Here is a 25582-nt window from a genome sequence, read left to right as displayed (position 1 = left end):
ATGTATATATATGTAACAAACCTGCACGTTGTGCACATGTACCCTAAAACAAAGTATAATTAAAAATAAATAAACAAAAATATGTACTTGGTCACATGGAGTCTGCTTTATACCATGCTACCTTTTATAATAACCTACATTTTTGAAATACTGTTCACTAGTTTTTAACCTGACATGCAAAATATAATAATTTTGTCCTTGACATTTATTTCATGTCTATAATTTAGTTGGCTTTGCAATAGCATTTTCGATCCATTTCTAAACATTTCATAGAAACACAGTGCCATTAGCCATTTGCAAAATAAACATCACTAAATTGCAAACAAAGTTTTCCCTAATGAAGTTTAGACATGGAAATTGATTAGATTTAAAAAAAACGGAAATAAACACATTCTCTTGCTTCTTGGAGCTTATTATAAATGTCTATTATTTCTTTTTCACTCAAAATTTACATTACATGTTTGAAGTTAATACATCAATGTTTTAATTACATGTTTACATTATCTCCTATATGTATATATGTGTGTGTGTGTATTTATACGATTGTAAACTTATTTTTTTGAGACTTGATCATTTGAGTTACTTGCTTTTATTTTCTTAAATCTCACAGGCCGGGTGCCATGGCTCATGTCTGTAATCCCAGCATTTTGGGAGGCCAAGGTGGGCGGATCACCCAAGGTCAGGAGTTCAAGGCCAGCCTGGCCAACATGGTGAAACGCCATCACTACTAAAAATACAAAAAAATAGCCGAGCGTGGTGGTGGGCGCCTGTAGTCGCAGCTCCTCGGGTGGCTGAGGCATTGAGAATCACATGAACCCAGGAGGCAGAGGTTGCAGTGAACTGAGATCACGCCGCTGCACTCCAGACTGGGCAACAGAGTGAGTCTCTATCTCAATAACAACAGCAGCAGCAGCAACAAAAAGAACTCACAGTGCATCTTGATTCTTCATATCGTTTGTTACATCATGATACAGCTTATAATAGTTACTATTTAATACCTGCTAGGGGCCAATTCTCGGGCTAAGTGCTTTAAACACTTCATTCGACAAACATTTTTTGAGAACCCACTGTACGCTGCACACTGTGAAGCTACTTGGTTTATCAACGAGCAGGACAATTACAGCATCTGAGCTCAGCAAGTGCACCTTCTAGAGAAGGTAAAAGCAGACCGAGGTGGAGTGCGGGGAACAATTTTTCTGACTAGAAAAGGTCAGGGAGCCTCTAAACAGCATTTATCATAGAGCTGCGGGAATCAAGGACCTCAGTCTTGAAAATGTGGTATTTAACCTAAGATTAACAGAGTAAGTAGAATTTAGCCAAGTGAACAAGAGAATAGGGTAAAATTGTCCCTAGCTATGGACACGTTTGCAAAAGGCCCAGAGATGGGAGAGAACGTGTTAGTCAAAGCTGTTTGGCAGTAAATAATAGAAATTTACCAAAATTATCTTAAGAAATAAAAACAAATCAAGTATTGCTGACATGAGTAAAAAGAGTGAGGGAGCGTGAACCCAGGAGGTGGAACTTGCAGTGAGCTGAGATCGCGCCACTGTACTCCAGGCTGGGCGACAGAGCGAGACTACGTCTCAAAAAAAAAAAAAAAAAAAAAAAAGGGAGGGAATTGATTACAGGCGTACCTGGCAGAGGGGCTTCACTGATGTCACTGGATTTTCCCTGTTGTCTGTCTCACACTTCCAGCCATTTCCCTTATTCTTCTGAAACTCCAGTTTTAAAGGACTTCATAGGTGGGAAGATTATGTAATTTTTATTCAAATTGGGATATTTTAAGAGTAAACATGGGTGCTGTTCATCACTATCTGAGACAACAGGTGCAAGCCAGTACTGTCCTGGATAAGGCTGAACGTGTCATCACCCTAATTGCAAGTTAAAATTTCATTCTTCCTATTACAGTAAAGGTTTTAATGAAAATCTTCTCCTGTTTTCATACTTCATTCTTTAATTTCTGTTTGTCACACCGCTACATCTCACTATTTTGCCCAGGCTGGTCTCAAACTCCTGGCCTCAAGTCATCCTCCTGCCTCGGGCTCCCAAAGCAATGGGATTACAGACATGAGCCACTTTGCACAGCCGGTGTTGTTCATGCTTGAGTGTTGTCTGTGTGGTTTGATGATGTTGATGTAGAAAGTAAACAATTGGCGACCTGCAGATTTCGGGAGGTGGTTGTAATGGGGTTGAGAATTCCTAAGTCATCAGCACATGCTTCCCTTCTGGAACTATGAAAATGCATGGATTCCATGGAGATCCTGCTCCCCCCTTGTGAATTATTGACATTGCCTAATTTTGTACAGTAGATTGGAGGTTTCATTGTGATTCTTAGTGAATCTATGTGTAATTTGGTTTTTTGTTGTTGGTTTTGTTTTTTTAGTGTAACATTTCATTCTGTGCCTGCACATGTTAATCTCAACTGTTGGGAGATGTGGTTTAACTGTTTGCCACAGTTCTATTTTAGAACTGGGGGCGGGGGCCTTGCCTGCTGACCCAGGCTCAGAGGCCACCTCTGGCTGATGTTCTCCCCACAGGGAAGGGAGAATGTCCTGGGCCATCCTCTGCGTATTCAAGACCCTGGCATCCTGGCCCAGATGGACCTGAGCTTGCCTCGTAGGGTTGGATGGGCCTTTTCTTTGGGCCTCTCCTCCTGAGGGTAGACAGCTTGGCTTGTATCTGAAATGGTTTGTCAGAGATACAAGGAGCATGGAAATAAGAGAAGTCAGCAGAGGGGTCACAATGTCATGGGTTCACTGCTAGCGGTTCAGGAGCAAGCAGGCGGGGAGGGGGCCAGGAGCAGGAGGAGTCTGCGTCCAGGTAGCAGAATTTCAGCTATGCTCTCCAGGGAGCCTGAGGACTACAAACCACAGCTACCACCCACATCGCTGTGAATGTACATTTGTCAAGGAAGGCATGAGGACTTTTACATATCAAATCACATGGTCTGTGAGCCTCTTTCTGCCCTTGCCCTGCATCCCACAAACATTTAGGGGCAAATGAGACATCACACCTGACACCTCACCCAGGCAGCTTCTCACCATATTTGTGCTGTTTTGAAGTCACTTCTGCCCTTAGATCTTCACTTACACCAATACAAAAATGAATACATGGTTCACTTGCATCCACAAAGGTAATAACTCTTGCCTTAACATAATTCACTTACAAAAGTTCTATAAGCAATAAATTGTAAGCTTTCTAAAACACTTTTTTCTACAGCAAAAAAAGAGAGAAAGAATTGGAACTCTAATTCCAAAAATTTTTAATCAACCGCTAAAATGGCACCATGAAAGACAGAGCTCTCAGTGTGTCAGGGGAATGAGAAATCCATGTAAATATTGATGATTAAGAAAATAAAAAGTCCAGGCCCGGTGGTTCACACCTGTAATCGCAGCACTTTGGGATGCCAAGGCGGGCAAGATCACCTGAGGTCAGGAGTTCGAGGCCAGCATGGCCAACATGGCAAAACCCCGTCTCTTTCAAAAATTCAAAAATTAGCTGGGTAGGGCAGCACATGCCTGTAATCCCAGCTACTCAGGAGGCTGAGGCAGGAGAATCCCTTGAACACGGGAGGTGGCGGTTGCAGTGAGCCCAGACTGAGTCACTGCACACCAGCCTGGGTGACAGAGTGAGACTCTGTCACAAAAAAAATACAAATTTAAAAAAATAAAATAAAGAGAATGGGGGTGAACAGAGAATAGAAGAGTTTAATATGTGAGAGCGTGACTGAGGAACTGGCTTCCTGGAGGAGAAACTGGCATTTCAGGGTGACCCAAATAAGGATTTTTGCAAAGACCAGATAAAGGAGCATTTCAGGGAACCGTGTAGCCAGTGAGAAGTCCCATGTGAGGAATGAGATCATGGATTCCAAGGAAGAATGAGGGGCTGGTGTGGGTGAGGCACAGTGGATGTGTGGCAGGCAGGGCCCTGATCCCACGGGACCAGCAGATCCAGGTGTGGAGCTAGAGTGATGGGAATCCACTCAAGGGTTTTTAAATAAAGAAGTGACATGAACCGATGTGCCTTCTTAGCAGATCTTCCTAGATGCAGTGCAGAGAATGGATTGCACTGGGGGTAGACAAGAAGGAAGTTCGGGCAAGTGCGTTGGGGGAAATAAATAATTAAAACCAAAACTTCTGCCTACCCAGAAAAACCTCTCCACAAAAGTAATAGAGAAAAAAATAAAAACACTATTATTGTTGAATAGGCTTTCAAGTAGAATGCGATTCATGTCACTGGCAATCTGCTAAGAAATTGCAAAGAAATCTCTTTCATTATCAAGCAGATAAAAGTCATTACAGACTTGTTCTCAAGATAAACAGTAACTAGTCCCCTAGCAAGAGGGCTTAACACAACCCTTGGTCAACACATAGTCCGTTCTAGATCCACCCAGAAATTGGGGTGATCATCTGTGGTAGCTGTGGTTTTATATGAAGAAAAAATAAACTTTGTACATCCTTATGAAAGGAGGCCGTTTTGCAACTTGGAGTCAGGTGCCTGCGGAAGATTTAGGCTCCTGTCCTTTCCTGGAAGGGGTAGGCATGGGCGCTACCTTCCTTGATGATGCATTTCAAAGAGATGGCCTCAGATCCTAAGGAAAGACATTCCTAGGTCTTAAAGCTGACAGGAGGCTTATTTAGCTTTTGTAAACATCCACATACATTTCAAAGGAACTGAGAAAGTACTTCCAGTTGTAGGTTTTCTAAACAAAATGCTCTAAGAAAGAGAGGGGGAAAAGTCTGGTCCTTTATCTCCTGCAGGGAGAATTCAGCCTCTCACTTTTGTTTTGCAAATGCCCTTACACAGGCTCCTAGTGACTGGGACCCAGGTACCGGAAGGAACTGGAGGTGCTTCTCAGGGTGGCAGGATGTGCCCTGGAATGAATGTTTGCTGTGGACAGGGAGGACTCAAGGACAACTACTAAGGTTTTGATTTGAGCAACTCAGAAGACAGGAGTGCCATTTACAGAGAGGGCAAAATAGTAAATACAAACTCAATTAATGCATTAATGCAGAAATTAACGAAATTCATGATCTGCTTTACAAATTCACAATGCTAACACGTCCCCTTTCCTCCACAGTTGACCTTCTAAAATACCCTCCTGTCCTTTTGAGCACCAAATTCAGAATCTCCCTCTTGAGGAATCACAGTTCTTCTTGGAAATAGCCAAAAAATAACTTCAGGATCACATGTTCCCGAAGGGAGTCAGTTTTACTTCTCAGCGCCCTTGGGGTGGAGGACTGGGCTGAGAGTCAGGTCCTAAAAATCTGAGGCTGCTTGCTGCCAAGCAGTGTCCCTGCTGAAGACGGATCCCGCACCCATCTGTGACTATGATGCTTGGAGGGTGTGCAGATACTGGATTTCCGCTTATTACTTTATATCCCTCCCATTCAACCCTTGTTTCCCAAATAGCATTCACTTTTCCATTCACCGTCCAGGGTGATAAAGGGCTCAGATTGTCAGCCACATTCAAGGCTGAATCAAAGCTGCCCCCAAAATGTTTCACCCTGGCTGTCCTGCCTTGGGTTCAACGTGTGTCTATGATTTCCCCCTTTGAAGAGCTGATGTCTGCAGCGACCTAGGTTAGAGGCGACCCAGATGTATGTACAGTGTAAAAGCTGGTGTACTTGGCTGGGACCTTATTCCTTTCTTCCTGGAAAGACTGCTTATGCAAACTAACCCTGCTCCACCTGGCCATTAAAAAGGGATGGTCTCTGTTAAACAAAAGCAGATTGCTCTCCAGGGTAATGGGGGAGGACACGTCCTAGGTTTGCATAACTAAGAGGACCTCCGGAGTGACTGCCTGATTCCTAAATTGCCGCAGCCTGACTCCAGTGAACAGAAACAAGGAGCTTCGCAGGCTACTGACCCTCCAAAATACAGGAAAAGAAAGAATAAAAAGTGTTCCACCAGCCTCGCAATAGCATCTCTGCCTAGCCAGGAGCCAATTCTACTTTATAAACCTGATTTCGAACCCAACAGCTTTCCTTCACGTGTTGAACGACAGAGGGTCTATGTAATGCGCACGTTGTGATCTGTGTACTAGATGCGACTGCTTCTGTATATTGGTATTGCTTTATGTATTTTTCTACAGATGTGAGAAGCATTTTATCTATCGAGGTACGCAGGGATGTTTTAAATGATGCGTATGCTAAGCAAACGTACTTCTATGAACTAATACCTCGGTCAACAAATAAAATTTTACATAACGTTTAAAAAACATGTATGTAGTTCATGCATTTAATAGACTGTGGCCCCAACTTTGTTTTAGCAAAAAAGGAAAATAACAAAACTTTGCATATACATATAAATATAATATTCATCATATAATTATATATAAATGACAATATTATATATAAATGATATTGTTTATATAAATACATAAATAATATTTGTAATTTTCATAAATAATTATATTTATTGTCAGGCCTGTGAGCCCAAGCTAAGCCATCATATCCCCTGTGACCTGCATGTACACATCCAGATGGCCAGTTCCTGCCTTAACTGATGACATTCCACCACAAAAGAAGTGAAAATGGCCTGTTCCTGCCTTAACTGATGACATTATCTTGTGCAATTCCTTCTCCTGGCTCATCCTGGCTCAAAAACTCCCCTGCTGAGCATCTTGTGACCCCCTCCACACCTGCCCCCCAGAAAACAACCCCCTTTGACTGTAATTTTCCTTTACCTACTCAAAGTCTCCCTTCAGTGACTCTCTTTTCGGACTCAGCCCACCTGCACCCAGGTGAAATAAACAGCTTTATTGCTCACACAAAGCCTGTTTGGTGGTGTCTTCACATGGACGCGAGTGAAATGTGGTGCTGTGACTCGGATCGGGGGACCTCCCTTGGGAGATCAATCCCCTGTTCTCCTGCTCTTTGCTCCGTGAAAAAGATCCACCTACCACCACGGGTCCTCAGACCCACCACCCCAAGGAACATCTCACCAATTTTAAATCGGGTAAGCGGCCTCTTACTCTCTTCTCCAACCTCCCTCACTATCCCTCAACCACTTTCTCCTTTCAATCTTGTCGCCACCCTTCAATCTCTCCCTTCTGTTAATTTCAATTCCTTTCATTTTCTGGTAGAGACAAAGGAGACACGTTTTATCCGTGGACTCAAAACTCCGGCGCTGGTCACGGACTACGGAAGGCAGCCTCCCCATTGCAGGGACATCTCTCTGATTGTTCACCCACGTTTCAGAGGTGTCTGACCACTCAGGGACGCCTGCCTTATTTCCACGCCCCAACCTCTTATCTCTGTACCCCGATCCCTTATTTCTGCGCCCTGACCTCTTATATCTGCGCCCCAACCCCTTATTTCTGCGCCCCAACCCCTTTCCCGCTTGTCTGGAGGGTAAGAAACCCCGAACCCCTTCCCTCCATGTCTCTACTCTCTCTTTTCTCTGGGCTTGCTTCCTTCACTATGGGCAACCTTCCGCCCTCCATTCCCCTCTCTTCTCCCTTAGCCTGTGTTCTTAAAAACCTAAAACCTCTTCAACTGTCACCTGACCTAAAACCTAAATGCCTTATATTCCTCTGCAATGCCGCTTGACCCCAGTACAAACTCGACAGTGGTTCCAAATAGTCAGAAAATGGCACTTTCAATTTTTCCACCCTGCAAGATCTAAATAATTCTTGGCATAGAATGGGCAAATGGTCTGAGGTGCCTGACGTCCAGGCATTCTTTTACACATCAGTCCCTACCTAGTCTCTGTTCCCATGCAACTCATCCCAAATCTTCCTTCTTTCCCTCCTACCTGTCCCCTCAGTCCCAACCCCAAGCGTCGCTGAGTCTTTCTAGTCTTCCTTTTCTACAGCCCCATCTGACCTCTCCCTTCCTCCCCAGGCCGAGCTAGGTCCCAAATCTTCCTCAGCCTCCGTTCCTCCACTCTATAATCCTTTTATCACCTCCCCTCCTCACACCTGGTCCAGCTTACTGTTTCATTCTGGGACTAGCCCTCCCCCACCTGCCCAGCAATTTACTCTTAAAAGGTGGCTGGAGCTAAAGGCATAGTCAAGGTTAATGCTCCTTTTTCTTTATCCCAAATCAGATAGTGTTTAGGCTCTTTTTCATCAAATATAAAAATCCAGCCCAGTTCATGGCTCGTTTGGCAGCAAACCTGAGACGCTTTACAGCCCTAGACCCTAAAAGGTCAAAAGGCCGTCTTATTCTCAATATACATTTTATTACCCAATCTGCTCCCGGCATTAAATAAAACTCCAAAAATTAAATTCCAGCCCTCAAACCCCACAACAGGACTTAATTAACGTCGCCTTCAAGGTGTACAATAATAGAATAGAGGCAGCCAAGAAGCAACATATTTCTAAGTTGCAGTTCCTTGCCTCCACTGTGAGACAAACCCCAGCCACATCTCCAGCACACAAGAACTTCCAAATGCCTGAACCGCAGCGGCCAGGCGTTCCTCCAGAAACACCTCCCCCAGGAGCTTGCTACAAGTGCCAGAAATCTGGCCACCAGGCCAAGGAATGCCTGCAGCCCAGGATTCCTCCTAAACCGTGTCCCGTCTGTGCAGGACCCCACTGAAAATCAGACTGTTCAACTCACCTGGCAGCCACTCCCAGAGCCCCTGGAACTCTGGCCCAAGACTCTCTGACTCACTCCTTCCCAGATCTTCTCGGCTTAGTGGCTGAAGACTGACACTGCCAGATCACCTCGGAAGCCCTGTAGACCAACACAGATGCCGAGCTTTAGGTAACTCTCACAGTGGAGGGTAAGACCGTCCCCTTCTTAATCAATATGGAGGCTACCCACTCCACATTACCTTCTTTTCAAGGACCTGTTTCCCTTGCCTCCATAACTGTTGTGGGTATTGACGGCCAGGCTTCTAAACCTCTTAAAACTCCCCAACTCTGGTGCCAGCTTAGACAATACTCTTTTAAGCACTCCTTTTTAGTTATCCCCACCTGCCCAGTTCCCTTATTAGGCCGAGACACTTTAACTAAATTATCTGCTTCCCTAACTATTCCTGGACTACAGCTACATCTCATTGCCGCCCTTCTTCCCAATCCAAAGCCTCCGTTGCGTCCTCCTCTTGTATCCCCTCACCTTAACCCACAAGTATGAGATACCTCTACTCCCTCCTTGGTGACCGATCATGCACCCCTTATCATCTCATTAAAAACTAATCACCCTTACCCTGCTCAATGCCAATATCCCATCCCACAGCATGCTTTAAAAGGATTAAAGCCTGTTATCACTTGCCTGCTACAGCATGACCTCTTAAAGCCTATAAACTCTCCTTACAATTCCCCCGTTTTACCTGTTCTAGAACCAGACAAGCCTTACAGGTTAGTTCAGGATCTGCGCCTTATCAACCAGATTGTTTTGCCTATCCACCCAGTGGTGCCAAACCCATATACTCTCCTAACCTCGATACCTCCCTCCACAACCCATTATTCTGTTCTAGATCTCAAACCTGCTTTCTTTACTATTCCTTTGCGCCTTTCATTCCAGCCTCTCTTCACTTTCTCTTGGACTGACCCTGACACCCATCAGGCTCAGCAGATTACCCGGGCTGTACTGCCGCAAAGCTTCACAGACAGCCCCCATTATTTCAGTCAAGCCCAAATTTCTTCCTCATCTGTTACCTATCTCGGCGTAATTCTCATAAAAACACACGTGCTCTCCCTGCCAATCGTGTTCAGCTGATCTCTCAAACCCCAACACCTATAAAACAACAACTCCTTTCCTTCCTAGGCATGGTTGGATACTTTCGACTTTAGATACCTGGTTTTGCCATCCTAACAAAACCATTATATAAACTCACAAAAGGAAACCTTGCTGACCCCATAGATCCTAAGTCCTTTCCCCACTCCTCTTTCCGTTCCTTGAAGACAGCTTTAGAGACTGCCCCCATCCTAGCTCTCCCTGTCTCATCCCAACCTTTTTCATTACCCACAGCTGAAGTGTGGGCTGCGCAGTCAGAATTCTTACACAAGAACCGGGACCGCACCGAGTAGCCTTTTTACCCAAATTACTTGACCTTACTGTTTTGCCTAGCCCTCAAGTCTTCTTGTGGCAGCCGCCACCACCCTAATCCTTTTAGAGGCCCTTAAAATCACAAACTATGCTCAACTCACTCTCTACAGTTCTCATAACTTCCAAAATCTATTTTCTTCCTCACACTTGACACATATACTTTCTGCTCCCCGGCTCCTTCAGCTGTATTCACTCTTTGTTGAGTCTCCCACAATTACCATTGTTCCTGGCCCGGACTTCAATCCAGCCTCCCACATTATTCTGGATACCACACCTGACCCCTATGACTATAACTCTCTGATCCATCTGACATTCACCCCATTTCCCCATGTTTCCTTCTTTCCTGTTCCTCGCCCTCATCACGCTTGGTTTATTGAGGGCAGTTCCACCAGGCCTAATCGCCCCACGCCAGCAAAGGCAGGCTATGCTATAGTACTAGCCACTAGCCCGCCTCTTAGAACCTCTCATTTCCTTTCCATCATAGAAATCTATCCTCAAGGAAATAACTTCTCAGTATTCCATCTGCTATTCTACTACTTCTCAGAGATTATTCAGGCCCCCACCCTTCCCTACACATCAAGCTCCAGGATTTGCCCCTGCCCAAGACTGGCAAATTAGCTTTACTCAACATGCCCCGAGTCAGCAAACTAAAATACCTCTTGGTCTAGGTAGACACTTTCACTGGATAAGTAGAGGCCTTTCCCACAGGGTCTAAGAAGGCCACCATAGTCATTTCTTCCCTTCTGTCAGACATAATTCTTCAGTTTAGCCTTGTCATTTCTTTCCTTCTGTCAGACATAATTTCTCGGTTTGGCCTTCCCACCTCTATACAGTCCAATAGCAGACCGGCCTTTATTAGTCAAATCAGCCAAGCATTTTTTCAGGCTCTTGGTATTCAGTGAAACCTTTATATCCCTTACGCTCCTCAGTATTTAGGAAAGGTAAAACGGACTAATGGTCTTTTAAAACCTTACCAAGCTCAGCCACCACTTAAAAAGGAATAGAAAGTGCTTTTACCACTTTCCCTTCTCAGAATTCAGGTCTGTCCTCAGAATGCTACAGGGTATAGCCCATTTAAACTCCTGTATAGATGTTCCTTTTTCTTAGGCCCCAGTCTCATTCCAGACACCACACCAACTTTGACTGTGCCCCAAAAAACTTGTCATCCCTACTATCTTCTGTCTAGTCATACTCCTATTCACCATTCTCAACTACTTATACATGCCCTGCTCTTGATTACACTGCTGGTTTACACTATTTCTCCAAGCCATTACAGCTGATATCTCTTGGTGCCATCCCCAACCTGCCACTCTTAACACTTAAAGTAAATAAATAATCTTTGCTGGCAAGGCTATGCTGAACCTCGTCAGGCACTCTCTAATTAGATGTCCTGGGTGGTCCCAATTCTTAGTCCCTTAATACCTGTTTTTCTCCTCTTATTCCGTTTAGTTTTTCAATTCATACAAAACTGTATCCAGGCCATCATCAATAATTCTAAATGACAAATGTTTCTTCTAACAACCCCACAATATCACCCCTTACCACAAAATCTTCCTTCAGCTTCATCTCTCCCACTCTAAGTTCCCATGCTGCCCGTAGTCTCGCTCCAAGCAGCCCTGAGAAACATCGCCCATTATGTCTCCATACCACCCCCAAAAATTTTTGCCGTCCCAGCACTTTACAACTATTTCATTTTATTTTTCTTATTAATATAAGAAAACAGGACTTTCAGGCCTCTGAACCCAAACTAAGCCATCATATCCCCTGTGACCTGCATGTACACATCCAGATGGCCAGTTCCTGCCTTAACTGATGACATTCCACCACAAAAGAAGTGAAAATGGCCTGTTCCTGCCTTAACTGATGACATTATCTTGTGAAATTCCTTCTCCTGGCTCATCCTGGCTCAAAAGCTCCCCTGCTGAGCACCTTGTGACACCCCCACACCTGCCCACCAGAGAACAACCCCCCTTTGACTGTAATTTTCCTTTACGTACCCAAATCTTATAAAACGGCCCCACCCGTATCTCCCTTCGGTGACTCTCTTTTCGGACTCAGCCCGTCTGCACCCAGGTGAAATAAACAGCTTTATTGCTCACACAAAGCCTGTTTGGTGGTCTCTTCACACGGACGCGAGTGAAATTTATTATTTAAATCTGTATTATATATTATAAAATAAATATATAATATATAGCATATCATAAAATAAATATACAAAAATATATAAGTATAATTATAAAAATTATATTTATAGTATAATTATAAAAATTATATTTATAGTATAAGTATAATTATAAAAATTATACTTGTAGTATAAGTATAATTATAAAAATTATACTTGTAGTATAAGTATAATTATAAAAATTATATTTGTAGTATAAGTATAATTATAAAAATTATATTTGTAGTATAAGTATAATTATAAAAATTATATTTGTAGTATAAGTATAATTATAAAAATTATATTTATAGTATAATTTAAAAAATTATAGTATAAGTATAAAAAATATATTTATAGTATAAGTATAAAATTATATTTATAGTATAAGTATAAAAATTATATTTATATGCAAAGTTGTGTTATTTATATAATATATAAATATATAATATTTAATATAAAAATATTATATACTTTTATTTATATGCAAAGTTGTGGTTTTTTGGTTTTTTGTTTTGAGATGGAGTCTCGCCCTGTTGCCCATGCTGGAGTACAATGGTGCCATCTCAGCTCACTGTAACCTCCACCTCCTGAGTCTCCTGCCTCAGCCTCCCGAGTAGCTGAGATTACAGACACACACCACCATGACCAGCTAATATTTTGTATCTTTAGTACAGACAGGGTTTCACCATGTTGGTCAGACTGGTCTCGAACTGCTGACCTTTTGATCCACTCGCCTCGGCCTCCCAAAGTGCTAGGATTGCAGGTGTGAGCTACCGCACCCGGCCTGCAAAGTTGTGAGACTATATATATATCTCTCTTATCTAGTTGCAAAAAGATTGGCGTTATTGCAGCGTCCAGTTCTGCAGTGCAGTAGCCGCACGTTGTCAATCCTGCTGTTGGAAACAGTCAGACCCACTGCTGTTTTGTGAAGGGCAGCGCAGGTTCTTTGTTGCTCAAGCTGACTGGCATGGCTCTGGATGCAGCCTGACAGGTGGCAGAGATGTCCCCTCAGAGGCCAATGGGCCTGTGGAAAGTGCCTCTGTGACTTGAGATTTTCCAGGGAACGCCTGTGGGAAACTGGAAAACAGGGCACTCATAATCTCAGGAACAGCGCTGCCTTTTTCTAGGGTCGTTGAGGGATAAGATGGATGCAACTGAAAATGTTTTCTTTTTTATGGCAAGAAACTAGAAACCTTCAGAGTCAGCAAAAAATCCAATTTGCAGAAAACATATTTAAGAGAAAAATGAGTGAAGTGTATGATGTGGCACATAAAAGAATACAGCCCTGGAAGAGGAATGACAGCGTGCTCTGCCAATCACTTTGTGAAGAGCCTGAAGTGGAAAAGCAGTTTCTGCCCCTAATGGAGTGCCCCTGGGTGGGGGTTTGTATTAGTCTAGAATAAGCTTTCTTGCCTTTAACAGAAAACATCTTTGCATCATTCATAACTAGAGGAAAATAAAATGAAATTTGTTTCAAAGACCCAACCGATGTATTCTGCACTACATTGTTTAAAATTGTTCTCTTTCTCCTTCCTCAAGCCTTCTTATTGGTTTTTTAGTCCAATCTGGCTAACTCTAGGAACTTTTCATCTTTATTTCATAATTCTAAATACAAAGTGTTTGGGGGTTTGTTTAAACTTAAGTAAGCCTTAGTAGTTTATGGCAATTTTAAATAACCTTTGAAAATATACAAGCAGATATATACATTAGCTCTAAATGTATATATAATTATTTTATTGAAACTCACATTTTCGGCGAGGCGCGGTGGCTCACACCTGTATTCCCAGCACTTTCGGAGTCCGAGGCAGGCAGATCACAAGGTTAAGAGATCGAGACTCTCCTGGCTAACATGGTGAAACCCTGTCTCTACTAAAAATACAAAAAAATTAGCCTGGTGTGGTGGTAGGCGCCTGTAGTCCCAGCTACTCCGGAGACTGAGGAAGGAGAATGGCGTGAACCCGGAAGGCGGAGCTTGCAGTGAGCCGAGATTGTGCCACTGCACTCCAGCCTGGGCGACAGATCAAGACTCTGTCTCAAAAAAAAAAAAAAAAAAACTTACATCTTCATATAACTGGCATAAACTCGAGCTAATTATGTAGATGCAGTATTTCTGTTTATTAGACAACATGAACTTCACAAGTTTAAAACTTTTAATTGCATGCTGCATTATTATTGTTATACGTATTCCAAATAAAAATTGGGTTGAGAACTACAAAAGGTACTTTCAAAAATGAATAGAATATTATACCATGAAAGGACATGTAACCACTAGTGCAAGGCACTGTTTCTACTGATATTCTGTGGACTTCTATTTGGAAGGATCTTAAGAGATTTTCTAGGAAAACTGTGCTCTATGATGACAATGTGGGATACGCTGGATTAAACAATGATTTTTAGAAGTTTTTTACTGTGGTACAGCTCTGAGCCTTTAATCCTTAATGTGCAATGGGAATGTCTAAGGGGAAACTGGGGTGTGCAGTATTTGCCAATCTCATTTGACCAGATCCTATTAACTCCCAGAAAAGTGTTCAACAGAGCACTTATTTTTTGCAAGGCTGATATATCCGTTAAAATTCTTATTCATGTATAAAATCTGTGCACCTTTGTGTAAAACTTTCCTAGTAGTGAGTATTATATATCTTTTCTTTTGATAAACATTAAATAAAAATATGGGAATGAGAAATGAAAACATCTTGGTTTTAAAAATTATAATGAAACTGTTATCCCTGATGTCCTTGGCTCACCTCCTAAACTTTTGTTTTTAAATTCTTGTACTATTATATAACATTCATTTCATTGTATAAATGTTGCGATATTTACAGTGACTATCACTGTATGACAATTATTTTAATATTATACACTTATTGTTAATTTTTTAACCTATATAAACTGTGACAGAAATTATCACTTGCAAATGAGTGCTTAATTATACATGTCACCACTTGCTTGAGGAAAGGAAGAATTTTCCTTTGAAGATGGGAAGTTCATTCAGATGAACAAGATTGTGCATGTACAGTAGGATTTGCTTTTGATTATTTTCTGAAAACCAGAGAAATCTCAACAACAGTTGATCATAGATTCTATAGGAATATCACTCAAAGAGTAAATTCAAGAATTTGTGTAAAATGCTGGTTCAGGAAGGGTACCCCTTTGGTACCAAGATGATGGCCAATTGCCTTGTGATTCTGGTGATTGTATTCTATGATTAGTGTTCTACGTTAGAAAAATGTGTGGCTTATGGGTGAGACCTTCGTGACTTTCTAACTGTAAGTGTTGCATCTTCACATCTATCCTGCCTTCCTCTGCTCTCCCAGGCTTCTCTTGGAGTAATATGCTTGGATTTCCCTGTGTTCCAGTCTTTGCAGCTGATGGGAGGAAAGTGGGAAAGTACAGCAATGGCCTTCCGGTAACTCCTATTGTCATTCCCGCTCTCTTTCCATTGAAAAACCTACTCCGAAACCCAAGCACTCTCTTCTAGATCTCCACTGAGAGTGCTGTTTTCAAGTGAGATTCCCCTGTTCAAAACACGAGTAATGATAATAATACTGATAATGACGAGAAGAATGATGTCTCAGAAATCATGGCCAGTGTTTAAGAAATAAGTGTGATTGAGTGGCTTCCGTTTGCAGTATTACAGTGAGGACTCTGAAAATTTATATGCTGAAAATACAGTAAAAGTGCTGGATAAAATTGGTTTTGGATTTTCAAATTGTGTCATTGAACCTGCAACAAAATAAGGAATCCCGGTTGATATGAAATGCAGAAATGGAGAGAGATTGTGAAGCTAGGAAGCCAGCCCTGCCCTGATTGCCTCTGCTGATCCTCTGTGATGTGGAGCTTCCACTCTCAGAGTCCCTTGGCTCAGGGAATAGAAAGCAAATCTAAGGTCTTTCTGAGGTTGAAAATATCATAGGAGACCCTCATGTATAGCTGGAACACCAAAGGGTGTTCTACTCACAGAGTGGGGAGAATACACAGACATCGATGTTGACAGAGACATAGATGCATGCAACTCACAACCGCCGGCGGGATTCACACTAGTCTGTAGGTGAATTTCTACCATCCCTGGGATCCAAAATGCCTCAAGCTGTTAATTTATTTTTGAAAAAAGGAGGTTTTCTGTTGTTCCAGGCAGATCCTGTAATCTAATGTGACTCTCCTCTGGATGGGTGTACCTTCAAAGCAGAATGCAAAGAATTACCATAAGTCAAGTTCCCCAGAACAGAAGTACAAATGTGAAAACTTACAAACAACTTAGTTTACATGAGAAATTGGAATTCTTATCGGATTCAGACTGTAATCATGAAAAAAAAGAGAATAAAAATATGAATAGGAAACCAAATACTATATGAACGGCCAAGTAAATGTGAAACTAATCCAAGCCATCACATGTCCTTACTAAACATAACTTGCAAAAACCAACCAAACAAAACAAAACGAACAAACCATTTTAGTGTATTAGTCTGTTTTCTACTGCTTATAACAGAATATCTGAAACTGGGTAATTTATAAAGAAAATAAATATACTTCTCACAAATATGCTGGCTGAGAAGTCCAAGGTCGAGGGACCACATCTGGCCCTCTTGCTGGTGGGGATTCTGGAGTCCTAACGTGTGCAGGCATCGCCTGGCGAGGGGCTGAGCATGCCAGCTCAGGTCACTCTTCCTATAAAGTCACCAATTCCCCTCCTGTGATAGCCCATAAATCCGTTAATCCACTAATTTACAAATGATTAATACAATCACCTCTTAAAGGCCTCACCTCCCAATATGACCATATTGATTACATTTCAACGTAAGTTTTTGAGGAGACAAATAGTCAAGCCATAGTATTTATGAAGTAGAAAAATTAGGCCAAATAAAAACTCAGAAAAAAAAAATGAAAAGAAAACATAATAAGCAAACAAATTGATAAGTATGTATGAAAATTTAAACAATCATCAGTCAACTATGTCAAACAATAATATTTAATGTATGAGGTTTATAAAAACAAATGGACAATGACAATGTCTAATTTAAGATTTTTTTTTTAAATAACTGAAATACCTAGCAATGCATGTAATTAGGAAGAGAATAATAAATATTAAAGAAGAAGGTAAGACTATTACAACTAAATACATACTGAAATTTCTAGAAAGTCTACTAAAATAAAAGCACGAGAAAAAATTAATTAGTATGAAAGCAAGCAAAAAGGTAGAGCATATGGGGGTGCACATAGAAAACACAAGCTAAGATGGTCGAGAGAAATCCAAATAGAGCAGGAACTTCAGGGCACATAAGGAGACTAAACTATCCAATTAAAAGACAATTCTGGGATTGAATTTAAAGGACAATCTAACTGCATGCTGTTTGGAAGTGAAAATCCAAAACATAGCAGCCCATGTCATTTGAAAGAGCAAATGTGTACCAGCAGCATGTACAAGAGTTTTCGCAGCAGCATTTTATATAAGGGTAAAAAGAAAAATGACCCAAAGATCCATCAAGAAGAGGATGGAAAAATCATGGTGCATTCCTGCAATGGAAAACTATACAGCAATAAAAATGAGTAGACCAGAGCATCATGCCTAAATGTAGATGACTCCCAAAAACATAATACAAGCAAGGGGGAGAGAGACAGAGAGTCACAGAACTTGCAATATGTATTCCAGTTAAGCATTTAAGACAGAGAGAGTCACAGAACTTGCAACATATAATTCCAGTTAAGCATTTGATTTCAGGAAACTGATATATGTGGCTAAAAGTGGAATGCATACATTTATAGTCACTGTGAAGAAAAGCAAGGGAATGATAAACATAAAATTCAGAAAGTGACTTCCCCTGAAGTGGAGGAAGAAGGTGATATGGGGAAGGGTATGTTCTACGCATTGATCATACTGATGTATTGGTAAATACTCTATTGCTTAGAGTTGGTAGCACAGATGTTCATTTCATTGTTCTCATTGTGTTATAGATACACACATGTATATATTTCAATGTAATAACAATCAATTTGAGAGAAAGAGAGTGGTGAAGACAGCTTCTTGCCTCAATTAGCTTAGAGAATAGCAAGGAGAAAGACAAGTTAGCAAATTTTCACACTTCATCTTCATAGCAGACTTAATGACTTAGATATTAGTCTAATTTTTACTGATTTGTTAGCTGATGATAAGTGTGCTTAAGTGATCATTAAGTACTAATTAGGTACTAATTAAGTCCTGATGGGATTTGAAGCAGGTCTGACCAACTATAGGATCCTTGATGTCTGTATCATATGACACTATTGGATAGAGCTTTGGTCTTTTAATCTGCACAGTTTAACATTTTCTCTTGTCCTGAATTATTTGTTCATTGCCACCCCTATTAGGTTAAAAATGTCTGAATAACACAGAGCAGGTCTTATTCTTTTTTATATATCTTCTAACTTTTTATTTAAATGGATTTTATTATTCCATTTATCTATCCATATGTAGACATATGTATATGCACACACACGCACACACACAAATGCTTCAGAATTTACAAAACAAAACGCAAAGCCTACTCATTACTTTAAGGCTTCAAATATTAAAATGGACAGTGTGATGGTATGTATATAGAACAATACACTAATCTCTTTTTTTTTGCTCTTTCATAAAACTTGGTGTTGAAAACAGTGAAGTACTTTGCAGAGAAAAAGTCAGCTTTTAATTGTCATCTCTTATGCAGTGGAGTGGAAGAAAGAGCTCGTTATTCTAACTGAAAGTAAAAATGAGAAAAAATCTAAGCTTTGGATTTTTCAGGAGTACCTATCTTTCTAATTTTCAGTGCGACACATAATACACAGCAGTTATAGAAACTGGAGAAAACAACTGCTATTTCTTGAGGCTGCTGTATTTTAGAGTGATGGGGGATACTCTGGTGAAAACTCTGGGCTTGCGGTAGCCTTCTGTGATTAGGCGCAGGCAGAGTCGATGGCTGCATATGGGAGGTGATTTTAGGCTCGCCGTTTGCAATGCACTTTACACATGATTACCAGAAACTGATATGATAAGGCTCCAGTGGCCCCTGAAAGCACAGGCACCAGCCGGCTTTGCAGAGTCTGGCCTCTACTCAGCAGATTTGAGATTCTTTATATATATGCAGAAAGGCAGGATATTATTTTCAGAGCTTTTGTTAATATTAGGGTGGCCATATAATATATTGTCCAACTTGGAATTTTTTGGGTGAGTGAAAGGGGGTTATTAATAATTTTGCCGTGGCAATGTCACCTATGGGATCCTGGGTATAACTCACTGGTCATCTCCTCTAGACCTTCCACCCTTGGCATCTCAACAAAGGTTATTGGATCACCTTTGAAGGCACAGACCTTAAGGAAATTCTTCCTATTTTGTTTTCCTTGAGGTTGGTGTACTTTAACTAGTTTATGTAATTTGCAGTATGGGGTTTCATTAAAATATTGCTGAAGAGAAAATCAGTCTGTGTGTATGTATGTATTTATTCTAAGGATAATGTAATTTTTGTTTTAAAAAAACCCTTGATATATTTCATCATTGGTTGCATTTTCAACAGAATCTTGCTAGAGTTTATGCAATGCAAGCACAATGAAGATGTATGTTATTGAATGTACCCCTGGGAAAAGAAACTATTTTCGTATGTTCATGTGTAGACAAATGACTTATTAGGCCAATGAAGAGTGCTTCAACCCACAAGAACAACCACACCGACAAGAATGTGGAAACCATGTTTTCCAGCCTGTGACCTTGCCTTCTCTTTTGTTTGCAGCCTCAATTGCAGCCACCTGTAACGATCCAGGTATGCCCCAAAATGGCACCCGCTATGGAGACAGCAGAGAGGCTGGAGACACCGTCACATTCCAGTGTGACCCTGGCTATCAGCTCCAAGGACAAGCCAAAATCACCTGTGTGCAGCTGAATAACCGGTTCTTTTGGCAACCAGACCCTCCTACATGCATAGGTATCAGACAACAGAACTTAGAAATTTTATATTCAGGAATGGATGCATGTTGTCGTTAAAAGCGCTCCGTAAATGTATTATTTCTTCAGAAATATTTCTCAAGAGTTTCTTTCATGTTCTCTGGCTCTCTGAGACTCCTGAAATTTTATTGTAAACCTTTAAACTTTATTTTATGAGGTAGAATAAAGGAAGTCATCCCCTTAAGGTACAGTAATTGACATTTACCGTATATTTCCTACCCTTAACAAATGTTACATAAACATGGATCAATCAAATGTCTGTAATTTAAAATTCTAGTTGCCTCAAAATTTATAAACCTACCATTGCTATTCTGATTTTTAATATAGAAACATGCCCTTAAGCAAAACCTACTCACTAAAAGTACTTTCTCTTTTTAGATGTTTTTCCCCCTATGATATTAGTACATTTAAAATAGAATTCTGAAAACTAGAAATTATACTGTTTGTGTTAAAATGAAGATAAAAGGAGGTTTGTTTCTGAAATTTATTGACATTTTATAGTTTGACCTTATTAAAAGGATAACAAATGATTTTGCAGACTTTGGCTTGAATAGCCACCTGAGACAATTTATCACAAATATGTTTGTAGGCTAATATATATTTTATGTAAAATAGTAATTGCAGGTAGATTGTCTCTTCATTCAATAAAATATTCTACTAATAAAATTCGTACTTAGAGTATATCATCTAAGTCTTAAAAAGAAACTACTGAACTTTATTATTTTAAGTAACTGTCACAGTTTAATTAGTACTTCTTTATAATCTGTCTGAAAAATGTAAAATTTAATTGATGTGTGAAGAGAGAAAGTGATCATGAAATGGATAGGCCATTTTGCATAGGATGACCTTGAGGGGGTTTGTGGTTTGAACTGGTTTTTATTGTCGTGTACACAGCGGTGGTGAAATTCTCAGTGGTCTTGGGGAGCTGTGATACGGCGCTCCTACTTATGACAAACCACTTATCCCAGTTGTCTGAAGACAGATGAGGTTGGATAGCTGTCCTTATCAGCCTTCTCAGCCTTGTCGGGGAGCAATGTATGTGTGTTTAATGTCTGGTGCTGCGTTTACTTTTCATAGCGTCTGTGAGCACAGTCACGCGTTTTACTCAAGCTGAGTCACCGGGAGACTGCAGAGATTTCGGCGTGTTTCTTTTTTAAAGTGGAGTGATTGCCTATCAATGTGGCGATCATTTTAAACCAATGGCCTACTTTTACAGTAGGAAAGGGTTTTTTTTTTTCCTTCCATTTTGCATGTTTTTAGGCTCGTGGAGGAATACATTAAAAAGCAATATAACTACGAGTTAATCCCTTAAAAGTAATTTATTAATTTATATTAATTTGAACATGTAATTATAAAAGTTGGCCATCTCCTAATGAATCTATAAACAAATCGATCTTCTGTTAGATCATCTCTTAGTTACTTTATTTTGACCAGCCACTAGGTAGTCCAATACGCACCAAAAGGTAAATAAATACCCCTGTCTCTACCTTGAATGTCAGCTTCAAGGACAAGCTGAAATCACTTGCAGGCAGATGAATAATCAATTATTTTGGCAACCAGACCCGCCTACATGCGTAGGTGTTATGTAACAGAAAAATGGAAAATATATAATTGGAAATAAGTTAACATTATATTTTTATTACTTTGTAATTTTCTGTTTTTTAGGAATGAGGTTTATGTCCTCTGTAAGAAGCTTGCCCATTAGGGCATGAGTTAATTATAATTAGCACTCATGTAAATTCTGTTTCAAAGATTCAAAACACTTTTTAATTTTTTTACCTTTTTTCATATTAAAGGGTAATACATTTTACTGAAGACATTTTATAAACTATAATTAAATCAAAGAGGAGAAAAAAGTTGTCATCTTTTTACCTGGAGACAATTACAATTAATATAGACATTTATAAATGATTTCATAATTATGTATATGTAATCCATTTTAAAATGTTTTAGTCTGGGTGTGGTGGCTCACACCTGTAATCCCAGCACTTTAGGAGGCCAAGGCGGGCAGATCACTTGACATCAGGAGTTTGAGACCAGCCTGGGCAACATGGTGAAACCCTATCTCTACTAAAAATACAAACATTGGCCAGGGGTGGTGGTGCATGCCTGTGATCCCAGCTACTTGGGAGGCTGAGGCACGAGAATCACTTGAACCCAGGAGCTAGAAGTTGCAGTGAGCCAAGATCGCACCACTGCACTCCAGCCTGTGCAACAGAGTGAGACTCTGTCTCAAAAAAAAAAAAAAGAAAAAAGTTTTAAAATGACAACATCCTGCTTGACTGTTTCGTAAATTGCACTTTTTACTTACCAGTACATGGTGTGTATATTTTGTGTTACTATGTATTTTCTACTCGTTTTTAGTGACTAAATCTTTTTAGAAGGCACAACTACACCACTGATGCCACTCTCTAGTATCTATTTGTTTGAATCTACCAATATTGATCTTTCTAGTCCCTTATTATTGTATAATTAAGTTGTTTTAACCTTTTCCCTATTCTGAAGATAGCTTCAATGAGCACTCATGTTGCAAAATAAATCAGGATTATTAATAAGTGACATATTTCTACAAACTCGCATATTTCTCGGACTTTTAAAACGTGTTTGTTTTGTTTTGTTTTTGAGGTAGAGTCTCACTCAGTTGCCGAGGCTGGAGTGCAGGGGCATGATTTCGACTCACTGCAACCTCCTTCCGTGTTCCAGTGATTCTCCTGCCTCAGCCTCCCAAGTAGCTGGGATTACAGGCGCCCACCACCAAGCCCGGCTAATTTTTTTGTATTTTTAGTAGAGATGGGTTTTCACTATGTTGGCCAGGCTGGTCTCGAATTCCTGACTTCATGATCTGCCTGCCTCAGACTCCCAAAGTGCTGGGATTGCAGGTGTGAGCCATCGTGTCCAGCCCATTTTTAAAATCTCTTTCAGAGCAGTCACACCGATTTAACCTGCCATCAGCCATATATATTTATTAATGTTTTCTCTGACTCACAGAAAACACCACACTTTATAGATTTTAAGGCACAAAGTGATGATGTCTTGTTTTAATTGGCATTTTAAATTAATAATAAGGTCGAACTTTTTTTTTTCATATGCTTATTGGCTGTTTGAATTTGTTCTTTCCTGATTGATCAGCTAATTTACTTTTTTACTTTTTATTATTAGAGTATATTTACTCATTACTGGCTCTCTCTCTTTCTTTCCCTTTTATAAAATCTCTTAACCTCTCACCTGTTGTGTGTGACAACACTTATTTTCAACACCTGCCATTGCTGTTGCTTTTTCTTGAGTGTTGCTTGGATACCTCACTTTTTTGTTGTTGTTATTGTTACATCCGAAATGACTTCTACCATGAAGCCTCCTCTGTTTAGCTTTTTGACTTAGTCTAGAAGGAGAATTCTGTAGACCAAAGGACATTAACGACTTTTTTTTTTTTTTTTTTTTGAGACAGAGTCTTGCTCTGTCACATAAGCTGGAGTGCAGTGGTGTGATCTCAGCTCACTGCAGCCTCCGCTCCCAGGTTCAAGCGATTCTCCTGCCTCAGCCTCCTGAGTAGCTAGGATTATAGGTGCGTGCCACCACGCCCGGCTATTTTTTGTATTTTTAGTAGAGACTAGGTTTTGCTATGTTAGCCAGACTGGTCTCGAACTCCTGCCCTCAGATGATCCGCCCACCTTGGCCTCCCAAAGTGCTGGGATTACAAGCGTGAGCCACCACGTTCGGCTTCAACTTCCTTATTCCGAGTAAAGTGTCCCTAAAAAGTCTTCATTATCTTATATAGCCTGCAATTGCTTTTCCCCAAGTCCAAATTGCAAAACACTCTGAAAAGCCAAAATGTATCCTAGGTTTGCAGAAATTCATTTAGGGACAACAGAGCATCCTGACATAAAGGTGTCTATTTAGAAAATATTTATCGCCCCCAACGGTGTGAACATTCAAATGTTTTAATGCAGAAACGTAGATGGGTCTCGTTAAAGACCAGCTTCAAACCCTGGTGGTGAAGGAGCTGCTACGTATGTATGTGTGCTGTTGAGCATAGTGGATAAAGGTTTTGTAAAAGGGTTGGTGGGTCGAAAAGAATAGGTGGATTTTATCTCTTTGTCTATTCCTTCTGGAGAATTTGCTAGCATCTCTGAGTTGCATTTTTTACTATTCTAATCCTATCTAAAATATTTTGCAAGCTAATTAAAACCTAAGCAAACTAACTTGAAGAATACCAGACCAAAAGAGAGAACAAACAGGGCCAGGCAGCACTCCTTAATTCCACTTTTTCAGCTTTTAAATCACCTCATTTGAAAGTGCCTCCTGGGATCAGTGTGAATAAGACAGGGTTTCCCCTTTGTTTCTTTTAAATCAATATTTGAATCATATCCCTGAACTCTTCCTGCTGGTAGCACCCTGTAGCCAGTGCCCTGAATCTGTCATTTTTCATCTTACAAAACCTGTGTGCAGTAGAATCTTCTAGACCTTCAGGTACCTTCTTTCTCTGCATCAGCTCCCGCTCCCTGATCGGTCCACGCTTGTACTGCTCGATGCTGTCAGCAGCCCCGGCGTGATTCTGAGGAGGCACTGCCCTGTGAGAGCTGTTGGGACAATTGCTTCTGCACAATTCAAATTCATTAAAAAAAAAAAAAGTCATACTGGGGAAAATCAAGTTTTAATCTTTTTCTGTAAAAATTATATCATATTACTCTTGAACGTATATCTGTGGAATTTATTATTATAAATGTTTTCTACAATAGCATTCAGAGTTTGCATTCAGTTAGACTGTGAGAGTATAACAAGAACTACTGGAGTTAGTTGTTATTTCTTCCTATAAAAAGCTAAGTTTTCAGAAATGTTAAATAAGTATTTAAAGAGGCACTCCTTATTGAAAATTGTGAAGCATGTTCCTTCATCTTCCTTCATCTTATTTACAAAACAAAGTCTCTTTTTGTATAGGGGAAAAATCAGCAATTAAGACATTTTCTTTTCTACATATTTTTTAGTGCATGTGTGACCAATAATGGGAATGAAATAAGACATATAATTTAAGTGGAATACTATGATTTAATTGTAGTCACGCTTTAAAACAACTTGGTGACAAACCACAGTATTTGATATAAACAACTTTTAAACTCAGCATAGTCTTGTATGTATCTAAAATGTGTATACTTATAAATTCGGCAGTGTTTTCACACCTTCCGTGAGATGAGAGGTTTAGGAGAAACCTTATCTCACAAATAAAACAATCCTAAATACTTTCCAATTCAAGAACAAAAACTGGCTTGCCTATTAACCACATTGAGCTACATAATTACTGCCTTGCTAATATAAATGTAAACACATTTAATTCAAAATTGATGACTTCAAACACAAACTAAATTTGTTATTATCATATAAAGTGGTTCTTTCTAATAATATACCAAGCATTGTGATCAAATGATATTTTCAGAGAGTAATGCTCCAGCTCAGCTCCTCACTGATATGTATACT

General features: G+C 40.2%; 1 protein-coding gene across 5 annotated transcripts in view, besides 3 other annotated features; it reads left to right on the top strand.

Annotated features, from left to right (window-relative positions):
* CSMD1 (CUB and Sushi multiple domains 1) overlaps positions 1-25582 on the top strand; it is a 2059554-nt gene that overhangs the window by 1744782 nt on the left and 289190 nt on the right. For all 5 annotated transcript variants that reach the window (XM_011534752.3, NM_033225.6, XM_011534753.4 and 2 more), the window contains one exon: positions 19902-20093. In XM_011534752.3, coding sequence (XP_011533054.1) covers positions 19902-20093 — 192 coding nt within the window. The remainder of the gene's footprint in view (positions 1-19901; positions 20094-25582) is intronic.
* Positions 4143-4814: an enhancer, noted in NCBI's record as "OCT4-NANOG-H3K27ac hESC enhancer chr8:3102841-3103512 (GRCh37/hg19 assembly coordinates)". NCBI's record gives its function as "activates a minimal SCP1, AML or CMV promoter by ChIP-STARR-seq in naive H9 embryonic stem cells {active_cell/tissue: H9 hESC(naive)}" and the evidence as "EXISTENCE:reporter gene assay evidence [ECO:0000049][PMID:30033119]".
* Positions 4815-5487: an enhancer, noted in NCBI's record as "OCT4-NANOG-H3K27ac hESC enhancer chr8:3102168-3102840 (GRCh37/hg19 assembly coordinates)". NCBI's record gives its function as "activates a minimal SCP1, AML or CMV promoter by ChIP-STARR-seq in naive H9 embryonic stem cells {active_cell/tissue: H9 hESC(naive)}" and the evidence as "EXISTENCE:reporter gene assay evidence [ECO:0000049][PMID:30033119]".
* Positions 5488-6160: an enhancer, noted in NCBI's record as "OCT4-NANOG-H3K27ac hESC enhancer chr8:3101495-3102167 (GRCh37/hg19 assembly coordinates)". NCBI's record gives its function as "activates a minimal SCP1, AML or CMV promoter by ChIP-STARR-seq in naive H9 embryonic stem cells {active_cell/tissue: H9 hESC(naive)}" and the evidence as "EXISTENCE:reporter gene assay evidence [ECO:0000049][PMID:30033119]".

The sequence above is a fragment of the Homo sapiens genome, chromosome 8 (assembly GCF_000001405.40).
Source record: "Homo sapiens chromosome 8, GRCh38.p14 Primary Assembly".
Lineage (NCBI taxonomy): Eukaryota > Metazoa > Chordata > Mammalia > Primates > Hominidae > Homo > Homo sapiens.
The sequence above is the reverse complement of the archived record's forward strand: the minus strand, read 5'-3'. Positions and strand labels throughout refer to the sequence as shown.